We start from the raw sequence: 23,734 nt of genomic DNA on the forward strand, positions 1-23,734 counted from the left end.
AATTGTTAGTCCTAAACTCTGTTTTGCTTTACTTATGTGTAGATGAATCCTGGCCATGGCTGGTCACGGAGGGGAAGGACTATGTCCTCCTCGTTCCTTCTCATCCCAGAGCTTAGCCCTGGGCAGCCCATCTTGGGCCCCAGTAATGTTCCAATGCTTCCAAACCCTTTGCTGAGATCCAGCACCAGTGTGAAAAGGCTTCCTGCTCATCTCCTTCAATCTGTTGTTTCTCATAGTAATTTAGAAACCTTAGTGGATTCTGATCCAAGGTCACAGGAGAATAGGGTGGGCTCCTGAAGTCAATGAAGTGTCCCCCTCATCTCTACCCTGGCTACTTTGGTTCAGCTTTTCTCCTTGCAGAAGAGGCTGTTTTTCTGTTTACGAGTCCTCCTTTGCTGGACCAGGCTTTTTTATTTTTGTTGTGGCATCCCTGCACTTCACAGGGGGCCTGGAGCTTGTTCCTGTGCCCCTGAAGTACCCATCCATGAATGATCAGATCAGAGCAGCAAACCACTCTGCCAGGAATCACCAGGGGGGAGAGTCACATCTTCCTCATCTTTGGGTTTAGACCTGTGCATTCCAGTATGGTTCTCAGTGGCATATGTGCCCATTCATGTTAAAATAAATGAAAAAATTCATAACCTCCTCACAAGAGCCATGCTAGAAGTTCCCAGTTGCCAAAAGTCTACTCTTAAGAGAGCATCTCCATTCTCCCAGAATCACCTGGGAAGCAGCTGCTGTGAGTCTGGCCCAGGTTCTGTTCTCTGCACCCACCTAACTCAGTGCATTTGCATCAAGGCTGGAATCTCAGGTTCTCAGATTGGAGGTAAGAGATGCTATGAGCCAGTGTCGGTGAACAGTTGAAAGGGATTATTTCAGGTCCTCTGTCTTACCTGAAGGCTCACAACTGTGAGCAGTGCCTTCATAAAGGCCCCTGAGTTCACAGAGCCCAGGGAGAATCACAGTGGACAGAGCAGTAGTACTAATGTTTGTGTCTCTGTACATGGGCTCATGGGCACCACCTCTGGATCCATCCAGGAGGAAATAGACTGGTCAGGTAGGGACCAACACTCCAGGGTTGACCAGTGAGACAGGGTTCTTGGGAATTGGGTTACACTTATTTTGGAGCCTAGGATGGGATCAGTGAAGTGACTAAATATGAAACAGGTGTAGAAGTCTGACTTGGGATTTTTTGTATCTTAATGAGAAAGTCCTAAGAGTTTTTTTCTCATGGGCTTTGTGCGAGTTGTGTATGTCACCATCATTTCTTGCTCTGGTGTTTAAATATTACATTTTGCAGAAGACCAGATCATTCCTGCCTTTGCCACAGTAAGCACCAGAGCCCTGGGTTTTGATGAGGTAGCATTTTTTTGTGAATAGAGATCACAAGATGAGTATGCAGGTGTAAAGTTGAGTGTGGGGTGGGACACAGCCCCACATAGGCGCTACGTGATCCTGAAGACAAAGTCCTTCATACGTGTGCCAGGAGGTGAAAGGAGCCCACTGTCTTTCTCTACACTCTTGGGACCTGCAACAGCACCTTCCTGTCCTGTCCTCACTGTCTGCTCCTGCTCTAAGGGTGCTCCCTGGGTCGGATGACACAGGGAATCCTTCCTCTGGGATTCCTACGTGTGCCCCAGCATCCTGGAGTCCTGAGGGCAGAACACATGATTGAGCACAGTTTTGGCCTCCACTCCTCACCCAATCCCATCCAATCCCAAATCCCTGTGCTTTGAATGAAACCTAAATTGGCTTTCACTGGAGAGGCCCAAGTCCAGCTGTTGCTCAGGGCCCTCTGTGGCTGGCAGGAATCCTAAGGGATATGTGTGGAGGGGCTGCTGTGTTGCTGTAGGCAGTGGCTCTCACCCTCCCTGTAGCCTGGTCCCTGGAATCCACTGGGCCCAGGGCAGAGCCTCTGGGCAGCTGGCACAGTGGTCACTTGTCTTGTCACACCCTCCTCTCTGGCTCAGCAGCCTTGTCCTTCTCCCCACACTCCAGTCAGGCCCAGCTTGTTCTCTGTGTCAGGTCTTCCAGGTACCTTCCCTCCTAGTCTTCCCACAGCTCAGGCAAACCCTGGGAGGGTCCCCTCATTTCTGTGCTGGCAACTGCTGGCGTCACCTGCAGATTAAGGCAACTGGGACAAGGAGCTTTACCTTGAATTCTGTTCCATTGTTTCCAAATATTCAGAAGCTGCTGGGATTCTTTTGAGGGCTGAATATTTTCCAAGTCTCTAAGGTCACTCCAGGCATAGAACAGTCACTGTATAAGTGACATCGGCCATCATCACCTCCCGCAGGCCCCAACACAACCCCAGGCCTGTGGGAGGTGCTGCTGACCCAGGGTGCGATCCGTGGGTTGATTGGAGGCCCTGGCAGTGCAGCCTTGACCTTCTTTCCAGTGTTCTTATTTTGGAGAACAGTAGGACTGGTGGAGGTCCACAGGGTGAAAGGAAATGGGATTCATGCGGGAACAGAAACAGGCCCTACAGGAGGAGAAGGGAGGGAACTCCATGTCACGCACAACGTTGTGAAGAGGGCGCTGCCTCTTGGAGGAACAGAATGACACGGCTTCCCCTCCCTTGGCTCAGTTATGGAATGTGAGGGCTGGGAAAGTACGTGGGAAGTCAGAGGTCCCTCCCTCATAGCACAGAGGAAATGATACAGGCTGTGGAGAAGGCTCCAGAAATGAGCACATCAGAGGCTCTGGGGTTGGCTCCACAGCCCCAGGACAGCGGGGTCTGAGTGGTTCTCTCGACTCTAACTCTCCCCTTTCCTTCTTATGGCCACCCCATCACCGCTGCTCCTCCGGACACTCTGATGCTTGCTTCACAGAATTGGAAGACTCCACCATTACAGGCAGCCACCAGCAGGTAATTGATCTCCTCTTATATGCTGGCTGTCTTTTATCCTCTTTCTGACTCATGAGCTCCTTTTTTAGCTCTAGTCCTTTTCCTCTTTCCCTCTCTTGTGATTGTTCTCCTGAAGGACCTGGTCTCATCCCACAGTTGAGGTCCTCGGGTCTTCAGTGTCGATAAAATCCCTCTCCAGCCCTCCTGCCCACTGCCTTGGCATTGCCCTGTTTACTGGCCCCCAGGTTGCAGCTTTGAATCTTGCTGAACAACCCTACAGGGTCCAGGGGAGGGGGCTGGGCTGGGGTCAGAAGAGCTGGACCCCACCCTGCTGGAGGGACCCCCCAGTGACATCTGGGTCTGCTCTGGGCACCGCCTTCACAGATAGGTCTTTTCCTGCACTGGCGTCTCTGGACATGCACAATTGTTCTCTTCCTCACAGATGTCAGCAAGTCCTTCCTCTGCACCTGCAGAAGAAGCAACAGAAAAGACCAAAGTGGAAGAGGAAGTGTGAGTGTGCAGTGGGCAGAATGATGAGGGAAGTGGGCACGTGCCCATGTTCTTCTTGGCTACGCTCACTTTCTTGTTGTCCCATCAGGAAAACCAGAAAGCCCAAGAAGAAAACCAGGAAGCCCAGCAAGAAAAGCCGGTGGAATGTCCTGAAATGTTGGGACATTTTTAATATATTTTAGAGACCTCTGAAGGTAAGTGAAGGATGCCCTGAGAACATGCTCCAGGAAACAGACACCCACTCCATAGCAGCCCCTGAGCCTGCTGGGCTGAGCCCTCCACAGGCTGCTTAGTGAGGGAGACACTGAGGTGCTGGTCGCACCCCCATGTGCAGGACTCCAAGGGCTTTGCACTGTGTTGTCTGCAGTAACTCTTCAGCTCACCAACATCTCATTTGGGGGGACCTAGCTCTGTCTTCCCAGCCCCTTGAGGACAACAGGGAGCATCACTAGTTCATCCTGAGGAGACACTAGGGTTGACATGAATCCCCCTGGTTCAGGCCTCCTGGGAAAGGTGTGAGAGGGATGGAGGCACCCCCAGGCTCCTTGTCACACAAGCGAGCAGCCCACCCGACCCAGTATTGCAGGCCAGCAGGCCCTCAGTAGGTCCTGGTGTCAAGCAGGGGACACGGCAGGATCCAAGAAGCACTGAAATGTGTCCAGTCCCAGGAGTCCTTCAGCCTCTGGGGGGTCTGGGGGCCTCCAGTTCCAGGGGTCCTTCAGCCTCTGTGGGGGCCTGGGGTGGCCTCATGGCCCCATTTTTCAAGATGAGGTTGGAGGCTTCTGTATGTAGAGGGCACTGGCTTGGGCCAAATGCCAACAAAACAAACCCTTGAAGACATTTCAGGGCCATGCTCACTTGGGAGGGTTTGAGGACATGATTTAGCGAGCCTCTGTTTTTTAAATATATTTTCCAATCTTGAAATAAGGTACACATATGAATGTGTGTGTGTGTGTGTACATATACACTGTTTTTCACTCTTTCAAATGTATGTCTTCTGTAACCCTTTTATGCTAGAATATACAAACATGAGAAATTTGTGTCTTACCAAAGCATAATTTTAAAAATTACAAAGCAAAGACAGGTCCGGTTGGGATGCTAGAAAGACCAGGTCTTATTAGGCAATAACAATGACGTGCTCCAGGAAGCTATGCATATTCAACGTGCAGCTCTTCTCCAGGAAGCTATGCATGTTCAACGTGCAGCTCTTCTCCAGGAAGCTATGCATGTTCAACGTGCAGCTCTTCTCCAGGAAGCTATGCATATTCAACGTGCAGCTCTTCCGTCTGGATGGCACAGAGGATCTGGGTGGCAAGGCAGGGTCACCACCCCCACCCTGTGTCATGAGACCTCCTGCTCCTCTTAGGGCCCAGGGGCATGGGACTCTGCCTGTTGATCCTGGTATGCTTGAAATTCCATTTCTGTGTGTCTGTTTTACCCTCCGGGGAACCAGCCCCCTGAAGGTGCCCGTGTGAGCGCCCAGGTTCATTCTTCCTCCATGACACTCACACTCTCTGTGGACAGATAACTCCTCAGCAGAGAGCAGCACACAGGGCTCAGTGCCTTGACATCTGAGTAGACCTGACTGTGGGGAGCTCAGGGGCCCCAGGTCACCTTCCAGGGCCCAAGGAGGTCTCTGAGACCTGCACACCCATCCCAGGGAGCCCCTCCTCCCTCTACTTCTGTGCCTCTCTAGTGACCCTTGCACCTCTGTCTGTGTTGCAGATTCCTCGACCACCAGGAAGGGCCCCGACGTGGGGATGTCAACATGGCTCAGACTTGATGTGGATCGTGATCATTTCGGGAAATGTGTTACTCCAAAAACTTTTATAATCTTTGCTTAATTTGTTTTTAAATACTTTCCTGGCTGGGCGTGGTGGCTTATGCCTGTAATCCCAGCACTTTGGGAGGCCGAGGCGGGTGGATCACCTGAGGTCAGGAGTTAAAGACCAGCCTGGCCAACAAGGTGAAACCCCGTCTCTACTAAAAATACAAAAATTAGCTAGGCGTGGTGGCGCACTCTTGTAGTCCCAGCTATTTGGGAGGCTGAGGCAGGAGAATCACTTGACCTCAGGAGGCGGAGGTTGCAGTGAGCCGAGATCATGCCACTGCACCCCAGCACCTGGCTACAGAGTGAGACTTTGTCTCAAAAAAAAAAAAAAAAGAACAAAAAAATTCTGACTTTAACCTCTGTTTTTCAGAGGGCACAAATTGTTCTTGTATTGTTTCCATTTTACATTTTTTTCTTGAAGTTATTTTCCAATTGTTTTCATTCTTTCTGAAGTTTTGTTTACTCGGTTTTAAGTTTTTGTAATTTTGATAGACTTTTGTGCTTTCATTTTCTTAATGACTTTTACCTCATTTTTAAAACAAATCCATAGTATGGTAAGTTACATCAATATGGAGTATTTTTATGTTTTGTGGTGATTTACATTCTGTATGTATTTTACATATATAAATGTTAATGGCCTGGTGCAGGGGCTACCACCTGTAATCTCAGCAGTTTGGGAGACCAAAGCAGGACAATTGCTTGATCCCAGGAGTTTAAGACCAGCCGGGGCAACATAGTGAGACCTCATCCCTACAAAAAAAAAAAATCCTTTAATTAGCTGGGCATGGTAGCATCCATCTGTAGCCCCAGCTACTTGGGAGGCTGAGGCAGGAGGATTGGTTGAGCCTAGGAGGTTGAGGCTCCAGTAAGCCATGACTGCACCACTGCACTCCAGCCTGGGTGACAGAGCAAGACCCTGTCTTAAAAAAGAAAAGTTTATTAACGTGAATATCAGTTAGAAATCTAGTTGTTCATTGCAAAACTAAACCAGTTTATAGCAGAAATAAGCACTTGGAGGGAAATGTTACATTTTCACTGCAGGCCTTGAATCCTTAGCCACCAGCTCCGTGTCCTTCAGTGTTCTGTGGTTCCTGGTTCCAGAGAGATCACCTGCTCCAATGTAACGAGTGAAGAGTTCTTTAGGTGATGGCTGCTGGGCCCAGCTTTGCTGTTGTCTTTGCTGTCTTGTAAGCTTTGTGTCGCTCAAGTTCAGTTGTGTATGAGTGTACTAACCACTGTGAGCTTCTCCAAGCATGTGCAAGCAATTTGAGAGGAGCCTAATGTTTGCAAGGAATTTGAGAGGAGCCTTTTAAGGATGTTTTATTGGCGGGGGTCAGGTGAGGGAGATAACACGGGGGCAAGAAGGAAAGTTATTAATTCATGGGAAACTACCAGCCCTTCATCACCTAACTTGTGATTTACAGACACTGAGCACATTGCAGGTTGAGAAGGTGCTTGGTCCTTTTTGTAGCCTTATGCTGTGCTCTTCAGAGCCGTGAGTGTGCTGCTTTTTCTCACCATTTTGTTTCTTGTAGATTGTTTTCCTTGATGCTGGAAAACATTTTGAAGACAAGACTCTAAACAGTGACCTATGCCACACTAGTTTATTGGAAAATGAGAAACTTACATTACTGACAAGCTTGGAAGATTCTTCAGTCCTGCAGTGACCTGTGTTTCCCTGGTCTTTACCTTACCAATCTGCTTGATTCTCCTTTCTTGTGGCAGTAGTTATGATGCCAACTTTTGGGGTTCTTTGTCCTCCTCTTTTCTTCCTACCTGCCAGCATTCAAATGGCCACTTCTATTAAGTGATGGAATTCAAGAATGTATTTATTTATTAATCCTGATATTGTTTCACTCATCCCTCAGTTTAACATTTAGGGTACAAAGTAGTCACCTAGAGGTGCCACTCAATATACAGCACTGTGTTTAGAAATTGAGGGAGCCATGAAATATTTAGCCTCTGCTCTCTGAGACCTCAGCCAGGTGCAAAGAAGAGATGCAGAACCACATTTCAGATTGTGTTGTGTACAACCAGCAGCACCAAAATGTGCCTGGGAATCATGGGGGTCAGAAATTTACCTCTGAGGCAGGTATGGCTGAAGCTTTACGAAAAGAGATGGGGCCCGTGCCAGGCCTTAGACGTGCGAGAAGGAGGGCGTGTCAGGAAGCAGAAACAGTATCAGCAAAGGCGCTGCTGGGAGGCATGTGGGCAGTGTTTGGGGAACGGCCAGGGGCTTTCTGTGTCAGGTTTACAGCATCTGTGGGAGGCTGCGTTGGTAAATAAGCCCAGAGAAGTAGGCTGGGGCTACTTACATTAAAAGTATGCATGGCTTGAAGGCCAGCTGAGTGGTATAAATAGAAACTACAAATAGTATCACATTTATTGAGGACAGCTTGTGCTGCCAAAAGAGTTTTTAAAATTTTTTTGGATTGTGTAATTGGTGGATAAAGAATTATTGACCTAAATGTATCTGATCTTAGAGTGTTTTAGTATGCTAGATTATTGGAGGTGAAATGGCTAAGTCAAAGGTGATGAGTGTTTTTGAGACTCTTAATGTTAATTGCAAAATTAACCTCTAAAAAGGTAGGCCGGGCGCACTGGCTCACGCCTGTAATCCCAGCACTTTGGGAGGCCGAGGCGGGCGGATCACGAGGTCAGGAGATTGAGACCATCCTGGCTAACACGGTGAAACCCCGTCTCTACTAAAAATACAAAAAGTTAGCCCGATGTGGTGGCAGGTGCCTGTGGTCCCAGCTACTCAGGAGGCTGAGGCAGGAGAATGGTGTGAACCCAGGAGGTGGAGCTTGCAGTGAGCCGAGATCACGCCACTGCACTCCAGCCTAGGTGACAGAGTGAGACTCCACCTCGGAAAAAAAAAAAAAAAGCCAGTGCCAACTTAGACCATGACTGAGAGCTCTTGGTTTATCTTATCCTTGCCGAGCTGGGTGTTACAACATTGAAGCCTTCTGCAGTGTCCTCCCTCCCTTTTTCTCTCTTTCTCTCTCTCTCCTCCCTTTCTTCCTTTTACTTCTCTTATGATAGGCTCGTCTGTACTTTTTTGATAGAGGTAACCATTTGCCACACCATTTTCTGAAGGGCCTGCTCTCTTCCCCATTCATTTGTGATGGCACATTTATCCTACCCTAAGCTTTGATAACGTGTCAGGATCTTTCTGTCCTGTCCTCTCAAAGAGGTTAAATATTTTTTTATAATGACTTATAATTGACTGAAGTTATAACAGTTTTCTCATGTCAAGTATAAAACAGGCCAGGCGAGGTGGCTCACACCTGTAATCCCAGCACTTTGGTAGGCCAAGGTGGGTGGAATGCTTGAGTCCAGGAGTTTAAGACCAGCCTGGACAACATGGGACAACCCCATTTCTACAAAAAAAAATACAAAAATTATCCAGGCGAGGTGGTGCACACGTGTAGTCCCAGTTACTCGGGAGGCTGAGGTGGGAGGATGGCTTGAACCTGGGAGGTGAAGATTGCAGTGAGCTGAGATCACACCACTGCATTCAGTCTGGATAATAGAACAAGACTCTATCTCAAAAAAAAATTGTATACTTTATTGACTCATTTATGTCTGATGGGTATTTTTGATTACAAATTGTTTAGTCACTACTTTAAAGCCTGCTTTATTTTTTTCTTAATTTTATTGACTCATTTATGTCTTAGTCTTTTTTATTACAAATTATTTATTGTTCAGTCACTACCTTAGAGCCTGTTTTATTTTTTCTTAATTTTATTGACTCATTTATATCTCAGCCCTTTTTATTACAAATTATTTATTGTTTAGTCACTGCCTTAGAGCCTGTTTTATTTTTTCTTAATTTTATTAAAGGATGATATTGATGATGAAATGTCTTACGATGATCATTTAGAGGTTTATTTTGAACAACTGGCAATTCCAGGAATGATGGAATAAAGCATACGAAGTAGAAGGACTGGAACCTCCAGAAAAAGTACTTTAAGTTACCTACAGGTGATCCTAGTCAGGTATGTTACAGTCTTAATGGCTTTTCAGAAATTTGACAGAAAATCACTATTGATCTCACTGGATGTTTACATGAATTTTAAGCCTTTGGTTTTCTTTTAACTCTGTTTTTTACAGGTATGAATTGATAAGAAATGCCTGCACCTTCCCTCCTTCCTATCTTTCCCTTGCCTACAGAAAATTAAAAGGCAAAACAATAGACATCTGCATATTCTTCATTCAGATCAACCAGTGGCTAGCATTTGCCACCTTTTGCAGTTTCTTTCTCTTTCCATAAGTACTTTCTTCTCTGAATCATTTGAAAGTAAGTTGCAAAGAGCATGGTGTTTTACCCCAACACTTCAGCATTTATCTCTTGTGAATAATGACATGTTCTATGTAATTACAGTTCTACCATCTAACTATAATACAGTAATTTGATGTACAGCCCATATTCAGATTTACCTAATTGTCTCCAAAATGTTCTTTATTTTTGTTTTAGATCCACAGTTTAATCAAAGATTAACCTTGCCTTTGGTTGTCACATCTCTCTATTCTTTTACTTTGGAGTAGTTCTTTCAATACATGAAACATTTTGAAAAATCTAGGCTCTTTGTTTTGTGGAGTGACCCATAATCTAGATATATCTGGTTGCTTTTTTCTTCTGACTAGAATAGATTGAGCATTTTGGCAAGAATACAGATTAAACAGTGTTCTCATGAATGGATCCAGATTAAACAGGGAATAATGCCTAATTCAGATTAGGCAGTGTTGCGTACTTACCACCTCACACCAGGAGATGTTTGCGTCTGTTTGTCCCACGATTGCTGATGCTATGTTTAATAATTTTGGTTGAGATAGTGTCAACTGGACATCTCCTTGTGAGGGTAGCTTTTCCCTTTTGTTATTAGTCATCTGTGGAATGAGACATCAAAGCACTGTGAACATCTTACTCCCCGGCAAACTTCACGAGCTGGTTTCAGCGTCATTGCTGAAGGCTCTTGGAAACATTGCTTACACCCGTGGTTCCAATGGTGATTTTTCTCATTCCTTTTACATTGATTACCTGCCTCCTTGAGTGAGGTAGATGTTGTCTGCTCCCCATGTTTTCCCTTCAAATGTTTAATTTTAATTTAAATGATTAATACAGCTAAGTTATTCTTTCAACAGGCAAATGAAAACAGTAGCCTAAAGTGTCAGTTTCAACCAGAAAATAACAGCTCTGATTTCTCATGGCTCATACTCGTCTGAAACGACTCAGGTAGAGGCTGAGGAAGGCCGTGTTGTTTGTCTACCTGGGACTAGTAAGTATAGAAATAGAATTCCTTTGTTCTTAAATTCTACCTTTGACTTTACTTTTAAAATATAATTTCTTTGGTACGATTTAGCTCATGCCTATAATCCTAGCATTTTGGGAGGCCAAAGAGGGAGAATTGCTTGAGCCCAGGAGTTTGAGACCAGACTCTACACACACACACACACACACACACACACACACACACACACACGCACACACGAAGCGGGAATGGTGGCATGCGACTGAGACCCCAGCTACCTGGGAGGCTGAGGTTGGAGGATCATTTGGACCCAGGAGGTGGAGGCTGCAGTGAACCATGATTGTGCCACTGTACTCCAGCCTGGGTGACAGAGCAAGACCCTGTCTCACAAAAGAAAAAGAAGAAGAGATCATCTATTAGTCTTCTTGATTTTTGTTAAAATGTGTTATGTGATAGTTGATAAGCTTTATGCATATGTCAATCTGTGGCCATTTAATTTTGGGCTAAGGACTTGTTCTATTATAGCACAGTAATCATTTTACTAAATAGTGACTATTTGTCATTAAAAACAATATATTTAGTTTTAATACAGTTGAATACTCACAAATTTCTGGGGGAACTTGGTCAGGACATTTCAACTGAGAATTGTCAGGCACCTTCTCACTGATAGGCATGCTGCTCGGTGGTGCAGCTCATAAGCAGACAACCCCCTTCACGTAATTTAGTAGGAAAATGACAGAAATACTTGTGTAACTATAAAGTAAAGCAGAATTCTGGTTATTGAATCACAGCACCTACTGAAAGAAGTTCTCAAGTTCTGATTGAGTTCTAAAATTTTTTGAAGATTGGAATTCTTCATATGTAAGTAAAAACAATTTCTGATGACCCATTTCTAGTCCATCTTCTAAAGAAGTATTTAATCTGGGCCAGGCACAGTGGCTCACGCCTGTAATCCCAGCACTTTGGGAGGCCGGGGTGGGTGGATCATGAGGTCAAGAGATCAAGACCATCCTGGCCAACATGGTGAAACCCCATCTCTACTAAAAACACGAAAATTAGCTGAGCATGGTGGCGCGTGCCTGTAGTCCCAGCTACTCGGGAGGCTGAGGCAGGAGAATCACTTGAACCTGGGAGGTGGGGGCTACAGTGAGCTGAAATTGCGCCACTGCACTCCAGCCTGGCAACAGAGCAAGACTCCATCTGAAAAAAAAAAAAAAAAAAAAAAGAAGTATTTAGTCTAAGCTGGGCATGATGGCTCACTCCTGTAATCCCAGCACTCTTAGAGGCCAAGGTATGAGGGTTACTATAAACCAGGAGTTTGACACCAGCCTAGGCAACAATAGCAAGACCCCATTTCTACAAAAAAAAATTTAAAAATTAGCTGTGCAGGAGGCTGAGTTGGGAGGATCACTTGAGCTTAGGAGTTAGAGGTTGTAGAAAGCTATGATCATACCACTGCACTCCAGGCTGGATGACAGTGGGCCCTGTCTCTAAAACACAAAAAAAAACTAACAAAAAAAGTGTTTAATCCATAAGATGACCACATTTATAGGAGGCTCCCGGCAATCTTAGCCTGAAGCCATGAAGGAAGACGCAGTGTGAAGGCAAGTGCAGGCTGGCCTCTGGCAGCTGAGGATCAGGACAGGATGTGGAGTGAACATCCACATCAAAGCTTTATTGCTTGGATTGGAAAAAAAATTCCTATCTGTAGGTCAGCCTTAAAATACACCATTTCATAAAATATTGATTGTCTTTCCCATATTTTGAGCCCATGCAATTTGTGCTACCTGAGGGAACAGTATTGTGTCCTTGATTTGGTGAGATCAGTAGCTTTCTTATCTTATTGAGTGACAGCTACAGAACTCAGAAACAGAAGCTGCATATTAAGCAAATTTATATCTTTCTTGTTATAATATTATTGTGTATAAGAAATAGAGATGGCCGGGTGCGGTGGCTCACGCCTGTAATCTCAGCACTTTGGGAGGCTGAGGCAGATGGATCACACGGTCAGGAGTTTGAGACCAGCCTGGCCAACATGGTGAAACCCTGTCTCTACTAAAAATACAAAAGGCAATAAGAGGTTCTATGTGGACTTTGAAGGTCGTCTCTATCAATTTGAGGTTGGAAAGAACAGTTTTGTTGACATCCTTTAGCTGTGTTACAAGTACAATTTTGTTTTTTACTCAGGCAAAAGAAAATGTGTGTGTGTGTTAAATACAGTCAGCCCTCTTTATCTGTGGGTCCTGCATCCTTGCTTTCTACCAACCTCAGATCAAAAATATTCCAGAAAAAAAAGGATGGTTGCATCTGTACTGAATATGTACAAGCTTTTTTTCTTGTCATTCTTTATGCAATAAAGTATAACAACCATTTACGTTGCATTTCCATTGTATTAGGTATTGTGGGTAATCTAGAGATGATTTGAAGGATATTGGAGGGTGTGTCCAGGCTGCAGGCAAGTACTATGGCATTTTATGTCAGGGACACCTACAGATTTTTGTCTCCAGCCATGGTTCCTGTATAGTTTAACATTTCCACACGCTGAGGGTGTGATGGGTCTGAGTTGGGTTGGTCCCCCATGTTTGAGGAAGTGTGCCCATCATGATTGTACACCCTTGTTGTAAACTTCGGATATGTCTATTTTGATATTTAAAACATTTTCAGGTTAAGTCTGAAAAATGCCAAGATAGTAACAATATTTTAAAAGGGAATTCAGAAGTATTACTATAATAATAGAACTCATTATTAGAACATTCTAATAGTAGAAAAGGAAGTCTATTTATTTTATAAAATTGTCAGTTCAGCTTAAGATCTAATAGTCTTTTCCAATTAGCAGCAACTTAATTGAGACTACCTCAAAAGAAGAATTTAACATTTATTTTTGTAGAAAAAAAGCAATTTTAAAATAGCCTGGGAAAACTTAGGTAAGTTTTCCTTAATCCTGACTCCTAATTTGTGGCTAGAAGTGGCAATGATATGAACATAAGTTGTGCTATTTGTTAATATATTGCTTTTCATAAATCAATCCCTTTTTTGTAATTAGGTAAAAAGAGAAGAGAAAGACATTCTTGATTTTGGTGACTAGAGTTGTAGATGCTGGAAGCTTTGCCACTAACATTGATGAACCAGATGCATGTCACCAGCCCATCACGGTGATTCTTAATGCCGTTAAGTATGAACATACAGTAAAAGACTGTTGATAGAATACATCGGTCTTATGAAATGAAATGTGTTGGTTAAGGATTTTTTAAACGAATTTCACATTACACAACTGGCTTTACTAAATCTGAGTCTTGTATTTCTGAACAGGGCACCATGGGCCCGGCACTGCCACGTTTTCCAAGGAACCTGCCGGAGCTCCTGCGGAAGCTGCTCCTCAGGCGATGGAGTCCCTTCGCTGGTAGGCCCTTCTTCAGTCACCACAGGATGCCTGCCATTCATGAACAAGAAGGAGAGGACGGGCTTTGAATAAAAAACAGGTAAGTTTCCAAACTGCTTTTTTTCATCAAGATTTCAATCTTGGCTGGGCAAAGTGGCTCACGCCTGTAATCTCAGCATTTTGGGAGACCAAGGCGGGCAGATCATGAGGTCAGGAGATAGAGACCATCCTGGCCAACATCATCTCCTCAGCACCCAGCTCAGTCATTTAGACAAAGAAAATATGTAAGATGACCGAGCACGGTTGCTCACGCCTGTAATCCCAGCACTTTGGGAGGCTGAGGTGGGCGGATCACGAGGTCAGGAGGTCAGGAGATCGAGACCGTCCTGGCTAACACGGTGAAACCCCATCTCTACTAAAAATACAAAAAAAAAAAAAAATTAGCTGGGCATGGTGGCAGGCACCTCTAGTCCCAGCTACTCGGGAGGCTGAGGCAGGAGAATGACGTGAAGCCAGGAGGCGGAGCTTGCAGTGAGCTGAGATCGTGCTACTGCACTCCAGCCTAGGCAACAGAGCGAGACTCCTTCTCAAAAAAAAAAAGAAAAGAAAGAAAAAGAAAACACGTAAGAAATAGTTGCCAAAATAATTGAATACAGGATCTTCAACTGAGATTATTTTCTTTGTTAGGATCCAGGAAATATTTGTGAGGCCATTTGGACTTCAGTGTGAAATGGTGTTAAAAGATGAAGTCATTTATTCAAGAAGTAAACCTCTGCCACCTGGACTGTGCGCAGACATTTCATTGATTTTGTTTAATAAACATTTTCTGGCTTTGGGAGGTGTCTCTCTTGGTAGAACACAGTGTCAAAGATGGACAAGATGGACACATAGTCCATTATTTGGTATTGTTTGTGTATGGGAGCAGACCACAAATTAATGTTTGGAGAACAATTTTGTCATAACACACTGTTGAGGCTCAGTTGTACAGAACTGGAAAAGTCTTCAGCTTGGCACATGTCCTGATTCAGCCTTTGTTTAACATATATTCCAATCCGGATTCTATCTTCACTGGCTACAAAGACCACCTGATACGTGCACCACGACACAGGAGCTGCTGGAGAGGGGGTAGTGTTATCACCTCAAACCCACAGCCATATTTTTCAAAAGCCAGCTTAGAGAGAGGTGTACTGATAGCTGCATAGAGAACATGCAGTCCATCCATTCTTCCCAGTGATGTACATTTCTCAATCAGTAACCACGTGGTATACCAGCCTTGAGTGTCACATCTCCCAACCATACCAAATGGATCACCTAACTGGAGGTGGGGGGGGCCCTCAGAAATGAGATTTCGTATTTACTGTAAAATTGCCTTATTTTTTCTTTTGAGGTGGAGTCTCACTCTGTTGCCTGGGCTGGAGTGCAATGGTGTGATCACTGCTCACTGCAACCTCCGCCTCCTGGGTTCAAGCAGTTCTCCTGCCTCAGCCTCCCAAGTAGCTGCAATTACAGGTGCATGCCACCACTCCCAGCAAATTTTTATATTTTTAGTGGAGACAGGGTTTCACCATGTTGACCAGGCTGGTCTCAAACTCCTGACCTCAGGTGATCTGCCCACCTTGGCCTCCCAAAGTTCTGGGATTAAAGGTACGAGCCACCGCAACTGGCTGAGAATCTTTTTATTTGCTGATTTGTCTCTTGTGTATTTTCTTTGTTCAGATGTCTCTTCAGATCTTTTTCTCACTTTTAAATTGTTTTTTAATTGTTAAGAATTTTCTGTCTAGTTTAGATATAAGCCCTTTATCAGACATGTGTTTTGCAAATATTTTCTCCTAGTCTGTGGCTTGTATTCTGTCTCTTAACACTCATTTTATTTTTACTTTTGGAACTAAAGAAGAAGAATGGTCAGCTTTCCATTATTCTTGTAACAGTAATGGCAGAACCAAGTCTGCTAATGCTACACTGAGCAAAGAAAGTCACCTGGTGAAGTCCAACATTAATGAAATGGGGTAGTACATGCAGGCAGCGTTGGGGGTGGGGAGGGAACAAATGCTTCTTGAGAGTAATATAATCTGCCATACCATCCAGGAACCTACAATGGCTATCTATTACCTTATTCTCTGGTTTGTTTAATGTTCGAATCTTTCCGAAAGATCCTTCAACCTTTCTGGAAGAATCTAATCTGATAACACCATCAAAAACACATTACTTCTTTTGGCATAATTTAAATTGTAAGACATCATTCACATTTATCAATGTTACATATATAAGAACTCACCCACCATATTCTTCCTTGAGGAATTACAGCATGTAATTCTATAATCATTTTTATAATCGTCTAACAATTTTATAATGGATTGGTTGCTTACTATCAATTTTTTAAAAGTCATGGCTTCTCCAGTCATTTCTTGCTTATCGAAATTATTTCATGAGATGGGTCTCTCCTTGTATATTTGAAAATGAGGTTTGCTTCCTTCTACTTAAAAAACAACTTGAACATACCTGTTTGGATCACATGGTCTTGTCCTGATAACTTGGAAGAGGTTGCTTCAGCATTGTTCTTATTGTTGTGGTGGTTATTATTAATATTGTTTCATATTCTGTTTAAAAAATTAAAATTTTACACAAGACCAATGTCTTCTTTTCAATTCCAGTACATTTTTCAGAAGTAACTAATGCTATTGGCTTTGTGCATTGTAATTTCAGACCATTTTATATGTCTTTAGTTATATGTACAGTATACACACATATGTGTCATATTATTCCATTTTTTCTAGCATTAAACATTGCTATGGAAAACTCTCGGAAAAATATTTATTTGAACAGAACTTTTTCTTTTCTCAGATGTACCCTCCTTAGGAATCTTTCTTTGATCCTTGAAGTTTGGTAACAACTTTAAATATGTGTATCCCAGCTGGGAGCAGCGGCTCACACCTGTAATTTCAGCACTTTGGGAGGCCGAGGAGGGTGGATCACCTGAGGTCAGGAGTTTGCCTGGCCAACATGGTGAAACCCCGTCTTTACTGAAAATACAAAAAGTTAGCCAGGTGTGGTGGCTGGCACCTGTAATCCCAGCTACATGGGAGGCTGAGGCAGGAGAATCGCTTGAACCTATAGAGACAAGGTTTCACCATGTTGACCAGGCTGGTCTCGAACTCCTGACCTCAGGTGATCCACCCACCTCAGCCTCCCAAAATGCTGGGATTACAGGCATGAGCCATTGCACCCAGCCATACAGGAGCAAGTTTAAAAATTAAATATTTATTTGAATAACAAGCTTACATTGGAGCTGCAATGTTGGCAATCCAGATTTTGAACACGGATCACAAAAAGCATGCATAAAATCCTACTGGCCCAGAGAACAAAACACTGCTCAGAATTAAGCGAAATAGCTGCTACTGTTAAGAAAACAGGCCTGAAATCAATATACAAGATTTTAAAAAATGTATTGGCCGGATGCAGTGGCTCATTCCTGTAATTCCAGAACTTTGGGAGGCCAAGACAGGAGAATCACCTGAGGTCAGGAGTTCAAGACCAGCCTGGCCAACATGGTGAAACTCCATCTCTACTAAAAATAAAAAATTAGCTGGGTGTGGTGACACATGCCTGTAGTCCCAGCTACCTGGGAGGCTGAGGCAGAATAATTTCTCGAACCCAGGAGGAGGAGGTTGCAGTGAGCCGAGATCATGCTATTGCACTCCAGCCTGGGCTACAGGTGAGACTCCGTCTCAGGGAAAAAAAAAAAAGGTATTAAACACTACCATATACAGAACAATCTTTGTTATTGACTATATTTAAAAATCATTTTGCACAGTTAATTATATATTGCAAATGAGCATAATACATGAACTTCATTTTGGAAGGCAATTCCTTGTTACACTAAAAAACATCTAATTTCAGCTGGGCGCGGTGGCTCATGCCTGTAATTCCAGCACTTTGGGAGGCCAAGATAGGCAGATCAACTGAGGTCAGGAGTTGGAGACCAGCCTGCCGAACATGGCGAAAACCTGTCACTATAAAAATTAGCCGGGCATGGTGGCAGGTGCCTGCAGTCCCAGCTCCTTAGCGAGGCTGAGGCAGGAGAATCGCTTGAACCCGGGAGGCAGAGGTGGCAGTGAGCTGAGATTGTGCCACCGCACTCTGGCCCGAGCAACAAGAGCAAAACTTGGTCAAAAAAAAAAAAACAAAAAAAAAAACCAGCCGGGCGCAGTGGCTGACGCCTGTAATCCCAGCACTTTGGGAGGCCGAGGCGGGTGAATCACGAGGTCAGGAGTTTGAGACTAGCCTGGCAAACATGGTGAAACCCCATCTCTTCTAAAAATACAAAAAATTAGCTGGGTGTAGTGGCGGACGCCTGTAATCCCAGCTATTCGGGAGGCTGAGGCAGGAGAATCGCTTGAACCTGGAAGGTGGAGGTTGCCGTGAGCCGAGATCGCGCCATTGCACTCCAGCCCTGGCAACAGAGTGAGACTTCATCTCGGAAAAAAAAAAAAATCCTAATTACATCACTTTGCAAATAATCTCGTCTTTGCTGTCAATAAATAGTTAATAGTATTACTGTAAATATCAGGAAGACTACAAAAAAAAAGATTCCTTTTTGTCTTCAAAGTGTTTTTTACGCAGTGAAGCAGTTACTGTGTTGAACAGAATGCAGTACTAGAAAATGTCCTGGGTGTGAGATGCTCTTGAGTGACAAAACTAGGCTTTTCTTTCTTTTTCTTTTTTTTTTTTTTTTTTTGAGACGGAGTCTCACTCTCTCACCAGGCTGGGGTGCAGTGGTGCAATCTCGGCTCACTGCAACCTCTGCCCCCTGGGTTCAAGTGATTCTCCTGCCCCAGCCTCCCGAGTCGCTGGGACTACAGGCACCCACCACCACTCCCGGCTAAATTTTGTGTTTTTAGTAGAGACGGGGTTTCACCATGTTGGCCAGGATGGTCTCGATCTCTTGACCTCGTGATCCACCTCCCTGGGCTTCCCAAAGTGCTAGGATTACAGGCGTGAGCCACTGAGCCGGGTCCAAGACTAGGCTTTTCAAATCAAAGACAAAGGAATCATGCAACCCTCTTACAATTGGGATACCATCCTGTGCCACTTGCCAATACTGTCTTTCCAGAAAACCATTCAAGACACTAAAAAAAGATCAGACATATGATAAACATACATAAAATGAAAAGACACCAACTGCTATTTGACACTACTATTGGTAATGCCTGACATATGTGAAAGCACTTTTATTTTATTTTTTATTTTGAGACTGAGTTTCGCTCTTGTTGCCCAGGCTGGAGTGCAATGGCATGATCTCTGCTCACCGCAACCTCCGCCTCCCGGGTTCAAGCAATTCTCCTACTTCAGCCTCCCGAGTAGCTGGGATTACAGGCATGTGCCACCATGCCTGGCTACTTTTCTGTATTTTTAGTAGAGACAGAGTTTCTCCATGTTGGTCAGGCTGGTCTTGAACTCACAACCTCCGGTGATCTGCCTGCCTCGGCCTCCCATAGTGCTGGGATTACAGGCATGAGCCACCATGCCTGCCCATGAAAGCACTTTTAAAAAGAGAGCACCTCTGCTGCCTGGTCATATTCTGTACCTGTTCCCAAACCCTGAAACCAGTGATGTCAATGGCTGCGTGGGCATTGAACGTGTACATGATTCCTGCAGCTTTCCTGTTGACCTGGACCATGTTCATCAATGCTTTTTGGTACATTAATTCTACATCTTCTTCGGTGACCACAGTTTATGTTTATTTCATTTTTCAGGAATATCCAGCCACTGGTGCACAGCCATTGCCACTTGTGCCCCCAGGGGATCTTGTCAACTCCAGTATGTCCCCCCAGCACTGTGTTATCTGGCATAATAAATGTAGTTGGGCTGTAGTTGTAGTGACTCCTCCCAAAACAACCCAGGAGTTTAATACTGTTTGGCCACCGGTTACAGACATTGCTGCCCCTTCCGCTGCGGCTTTAAAAGCCTATCTAATCGGCTGGGTGTGATGGTGGCTCAGACCTATAATCCCAGCACTTTGGGAGTCCAAGGTGGGTGGATCACCTGAGGTCAGGAGTTTGAGACCGGCCTGGCCAACATGGTGAAACCCCATCTCTACTAAAAATACAGCAAATTAGCTGGGCGTGGTGGCGCATGACTGTAATCCCAGCTACTCGGGAGGCTGAGGTAGGAGAATTGCTTGGGTGGCAGAGTAAGACTCCGTCCCAAAAAAAAAAGTTATCTAATCAGGGACGTCACCTTTCCCTGCCAGTCATTTTGTTACCAATGAAAGAAAACATATTCAAATCAATTTTTAGTTCAGAAAATGTTTCTTTCATTGTATCTTTGAATTTTATTGTTCTGCATTTTTTACTTCAAAAACACCTACTATATGCATTTTTTCTCTCGTTTCCTTTTTTTTCCAAGAAATGTTTTTGTCCTTTTGATTTTTTCACTGACCATTACCATTATTTATATACCATGTACCTGGAGAGTTTCCAATGTTTCTCTTTGGTCTGAGATACTTGCTATGATTTTCACTTTTTAAATGCTCTTTTGAGATTTGTTTTGTGGCCTAAAATGTGGTCTATCCTGGAGAATGTTCTGTGAGCTGATGAGAAGAATGCACGTTCTGCAGTTGGTGGGTGAAATGTTCTGTAATTACCTGTGAGGTCCCTTTGACTTCTCTTGGAGTCAGTCTGGTCTGTTACTTTTCTGCCTAGAGGGTGTGTCTGTTGCTGAAAGTGGGTGTTGGAGTCCCCAGCTATTATTGTCTGTCTCTGTCTGTTGCTCGAATAACTCTTACTTTAATAACTGGGGCTCCTGTGTCAGGTGTGTTTACATTGACAACTGTCCTACCTTCTTGCTGAATTGATCTCTTTATCGTTTTATAATGACCTTTATTTTCTATTTTTGTGCTTTTTTGACTTAAAGCCTACTTTGTGTGACAAGCATAGCTATACATACTCACTTTTGGTAACACTTTTCATTTCTTATCATCTTCATTGAATCTCACTTCTTCACATTTACCAAAATGTCTACTTTTGAGCTGTGGCACCTCTTTGAATCTTCAGATCCACCACATGCTGATCAAGCCTTCCTTTTTGTCTGTACTCTGAGGAATCCCAAACAGGCATTTTTGCAAGAAAGTCTAGGAGGGAAACATAAATCTATGTGTCAAAAAAATGAACATAGAAAATAATGTGTCCTGGTTAACAAAAGTTCTCATTGTAAAGTGTTAGGCACAAGACTATGGAATTTCATGTGCCATAAATAAAATTGTCTTGATTTGTCTAAAACTACATTTTGTCTAAAACTACTTTTAAAAATTACATGTTACTCTAATAAATGTATTTTTGAGAATTTGGTGACTTATTTCCTAGATCTCTTTCTTTAATTTTAAATTAAATTCCAGCATATTTTGTTTGTGTGAGGCAGAAATTTAAAAATAAATATGCAATTATTCACTCCAAGAAAAGTAACAGGCAAGGCAAGGGTTAAAAAGAAAAGAACAAGTTTTCCTCTGCTTAGCAGCTCACTTCAAGGACAGTTATTAGATAAGGCTGTTTGAGAAGCCAAGGCCAAAGGAATGGGCTCCAGACACCCCCTCTTCCAGAGCAAGGATGAAGGAAAAAAAAGAAAAAGACAATTTATTTTACTGTTACTCTTTCCCCAGCCTTCTTAAGCATGATTATGTTTTACAAATGTCCGTATTTAGCCAGTTCCTGTTTTTCTTTCAATGCAGCTACAAGGCCACTGGCTATGCAAGGCCACAAGTTGTGCTATGCTCTAGATTATGTGACCTGTCATATGATTAGCTGCTTTTGTTTTATTTATTGTAAGTCCACTTACAAAAACCCCGCTCTGTCTTTGTTTAATGCTCAGCTTTTTGGATGCGAATCCACTGAGCCAATGTGTACCTAAAATAAACAATCCTCCTGTACTCTCATATCAGTCTCTCCAGTCCTCAGTTTCCTGCAACATGTTGTGTGTGACTTTCATGTCATAAATAGTTTATCAAGAAACATTTTGAATGGATCTAATGGATTGTGTGGTTGTCTAAACGTTAATAGTCTGAAGACATCAAGCGGGCAGGAGCTGGGCAGGGGTAGGATCATGGTGCAGGCAGGACCAGGGTGCAGTGCGGATGGGCTCCAGTAGGAGTGGGGTGCTGGTGGGGCAGGGGTGGGGGTAGGTGTGGGGGGCGAGTCAGAGCAGGGTGCTCCTAGGAGTCGGGTGCTGGTGGGGTGGGGCACAGATAGGAGCAGGTTGTAGGTAGGAGCTAGGTGTGGGTAATATTGGGGTGCTGGTGGGGTGGGGCATGGGTGGTATGGGGTACTGGTAGGGCAGGGTGTGGGTAGGAGCAGGGTTCAGGTAGGGGCTGGCGCTGGAGTGGTGGGGCATGTGTAGCAGTGGGCTGCGAGTAGGAGCCGGGTTCAAGTAGGAGTAGGGTGATTGCTGGGCTAGGCATGTGTAGGATGGGGTGCTGGCAGGGCACGGAGCTGGAAGGAGCAGAACGCAGGTAGAAGCAGGGTGCTGGCGGGGCATGGCATGGGTGGGAGTGGAGTGCGGGTAAGACTGGGGTTCTGGCGGGGCGAGCATGTGTAGGATGGTAGCAGTTGGGTAGGAGGTGCTGTAGGACTGGTAGCAGTTGGGTGCTGGCGGATTGGGGCGCCTGTAGGATGCGGTGCTGCCAGGCAGGGCAGCAGGTAGGAGAAAGGTCCATGTAGGAGCTAGGTGCTCCGGGGCTGGACAAAGGTAGGAGCGGGGTGTGGGTAGGAGCAGGATGACAGCTGGGCCAGGCCCAGGAAGGAGGAGAGTGTGGGTAGGAACTGAGTGCTGATGACGCAGGGCCCAGGTAGAAGAGGGGTCCGGGTGGAGCAGGATGCTGACGGGGCACGGCACGGCGGGGTACTGGTGGGGAGAAGCGTGTAGGCGCGGGGTGCGGGTAGGATCGGGGTCCTGGAGGCGCGTGGGAGGATGCGACGGAGTGCGGTAGGGGCAGGGTGATTGTGGGGCGGGGGGCGGGTAAGACGTGGTGCTGGCAGGGCCGGGTGTGGGTAGAGCAGAGCGGTAGGAGCAGGGTGCCGGTGGGGCGGGGCGCGGTTAGGACAGGGCAGGGCGTTGGTAGGAGCCGGGTGCCAGCAGGAGTAGGGTGCAGGACGCGGGTAGGATCGAAACCTCATGCTGGAAAGGCCACCAGTAGCCTGGGTCCCCGTACCTCTGCAGGCGCAGCCGCTCTTTTCACCTGGTGCGCCAGCTTGCAAGTCGTGCATTTACCTCTTTTGGCTGCACAGAGGGCAGGGAAGCCTCGCGGGTATGCAAGATCGGGAATGGCTGGGGGTGCGACCAAGGGGACTTGGAGAACCGCCCCGCCTCCCCAGGTTCCCCTGGTAGAGCGCACCACCCCCCACCCCCGCGAGTTTTCAGAGGCCCAGGCCCTGTGGAGCTGGGTCTCTGCGGAAGGGGTGGGGACCGGGCAGAGGCAGGAGGACGGAAAGAGCTGGGCAGGGAAGGGGGCCAAGAGAGCCCTTTCTCAACATCCAGGTTAGTGGATAGGCTGGGGGTCCTGCAGAAATGTAACCATGTGTGGAAAAACAGGAAATGGGGAGGGGCGAGGAAGAGGAGTTGGTCACCCGGCAGCAGGTGGTGGCTTAGACAATCATAGGGGCTGAGGGGCTGGCTTCTCACTGTCAGGTCCTGGGCTGGTAAGTTTCAGGGAACTCAGATGAAACAAATGTAACTTTCTTTAAGAGTAACAGGATCGATTTCTCTGTTTATTCAAGGAAGCTGTATACATCGGGTCTATGGGAGAATTGGGCACCTTTCAGCCTCACGGGGGAAGCTGTAAGGGTGGGCGCCCTTCCCCCCCTCTACACAAGCGCACTCTTAGGATGTGGGACGGGCGGCAGAGGAGAGCGGGCGGCAGAGGA

General features: G+C 45.3%; 1 long non-coding RNA gene and 2 pseudogenes across 2 annotated transcripts in view, besides 2 other annotated features; 1 reads left to right on the forward strand and 2 right to left on the reverse strand.

Moving 5' to 3' along the window:
• FAM153B (family with sequence similarity 153 member B) overlaps positions 1–16,633 on the forward strand; it is a 64,088-nt pseudogene extending 47,455 nt beyond the window's left edge. Inside the window, exons 18-27 of the transcript NR_169299.1 lie at positions 2,832–2,869; positions 3,291–3,358; positions 3,447–3,552; positions 5,084–5,743; positions 9,036–9,190; positions 10,338–10,471; positions 11,236–11,305; positions 13,488–13,611; positions 13,754–13,923; positions 14,511–16,633. The product of NR_169299.1 is annotated as a family with sequence similarity 153 member B (transcript). The remainder of the gene's footprint in view (positions 1–2,831; positions 2,870–3,290; positions 3,359–3,446; positions 3,553–5,083; positions 5,744–9,035; positions 9,191–10,337; positions 10,472–11,235; positions 11,306–13,487; positions 13,612–13,753; positions 13,924–14,510) is intronic.
• On the reverse strand, positions 16,332–23,112 carry LOC107986487 (uncharacterized). Its single transcript, XR_001743014.1, has 3 exons — positions 23,023–23,112; positions 20,773–20,952; positions 16,332–16,420 (listed from the first exon to the last, which is right to left on the reverse strand). It is a non-coding gene; the product is annotated as an uncharacterized LOC107986487 (long non-coding RNA).
• Positions 19,204–19,785, reverse strand: SEPHS1P3 (selenophosphate synthetase 1 pseudogene 3; annotated as a pseudogene).
• Positions 22,193–22,694: an enhancer, noted in NCBI's record as "H3K4me1 hESC enhancer chr5:175559705-175560206 (GRCh37/hg19 assembly coordinates)". NCBI's record gives its function as "activates a minimal SCP1, AML or CMV promoter by ChIP-STARR-seq in naive H9 embryonic stem cells {active_cell/tissue: H9 hESC(naive)}" and the evidence as "EXISTENCE:reporter gene assay evidence [ECO:0000049][PMID:30033119]".
• Positions 22,695–23,194: an enhancer, noted in NCBI's record as "H3K4me1 hESC enhancer chr5:175560207-175560706 (GRCh37/hg19 assembly coordinates)". NCBI's record gives its function as "activates a minimal SCP1, AML or CMV promoter by ChIP-STARR-seq in naive H9 embryonic stem cells {active_cell/tissue: H9 hESC(naive)}" and the evidence as "EXISTENCE:reporter gene assay evidence [ECO:0000049][PMID:30033119]".

Source organism: Homo sapiens, chromosome 5, assembly GCF_000001405.40.
Source record: "Homo sapiens chromosome 5, GRCh38.p14 Primary Assembly".
Taxonomy (NCBI): Eukaryota; Metazoa; Chordata; class Mammalia; order Primates; family Hominidae; genus Homo; species Homo sapiens.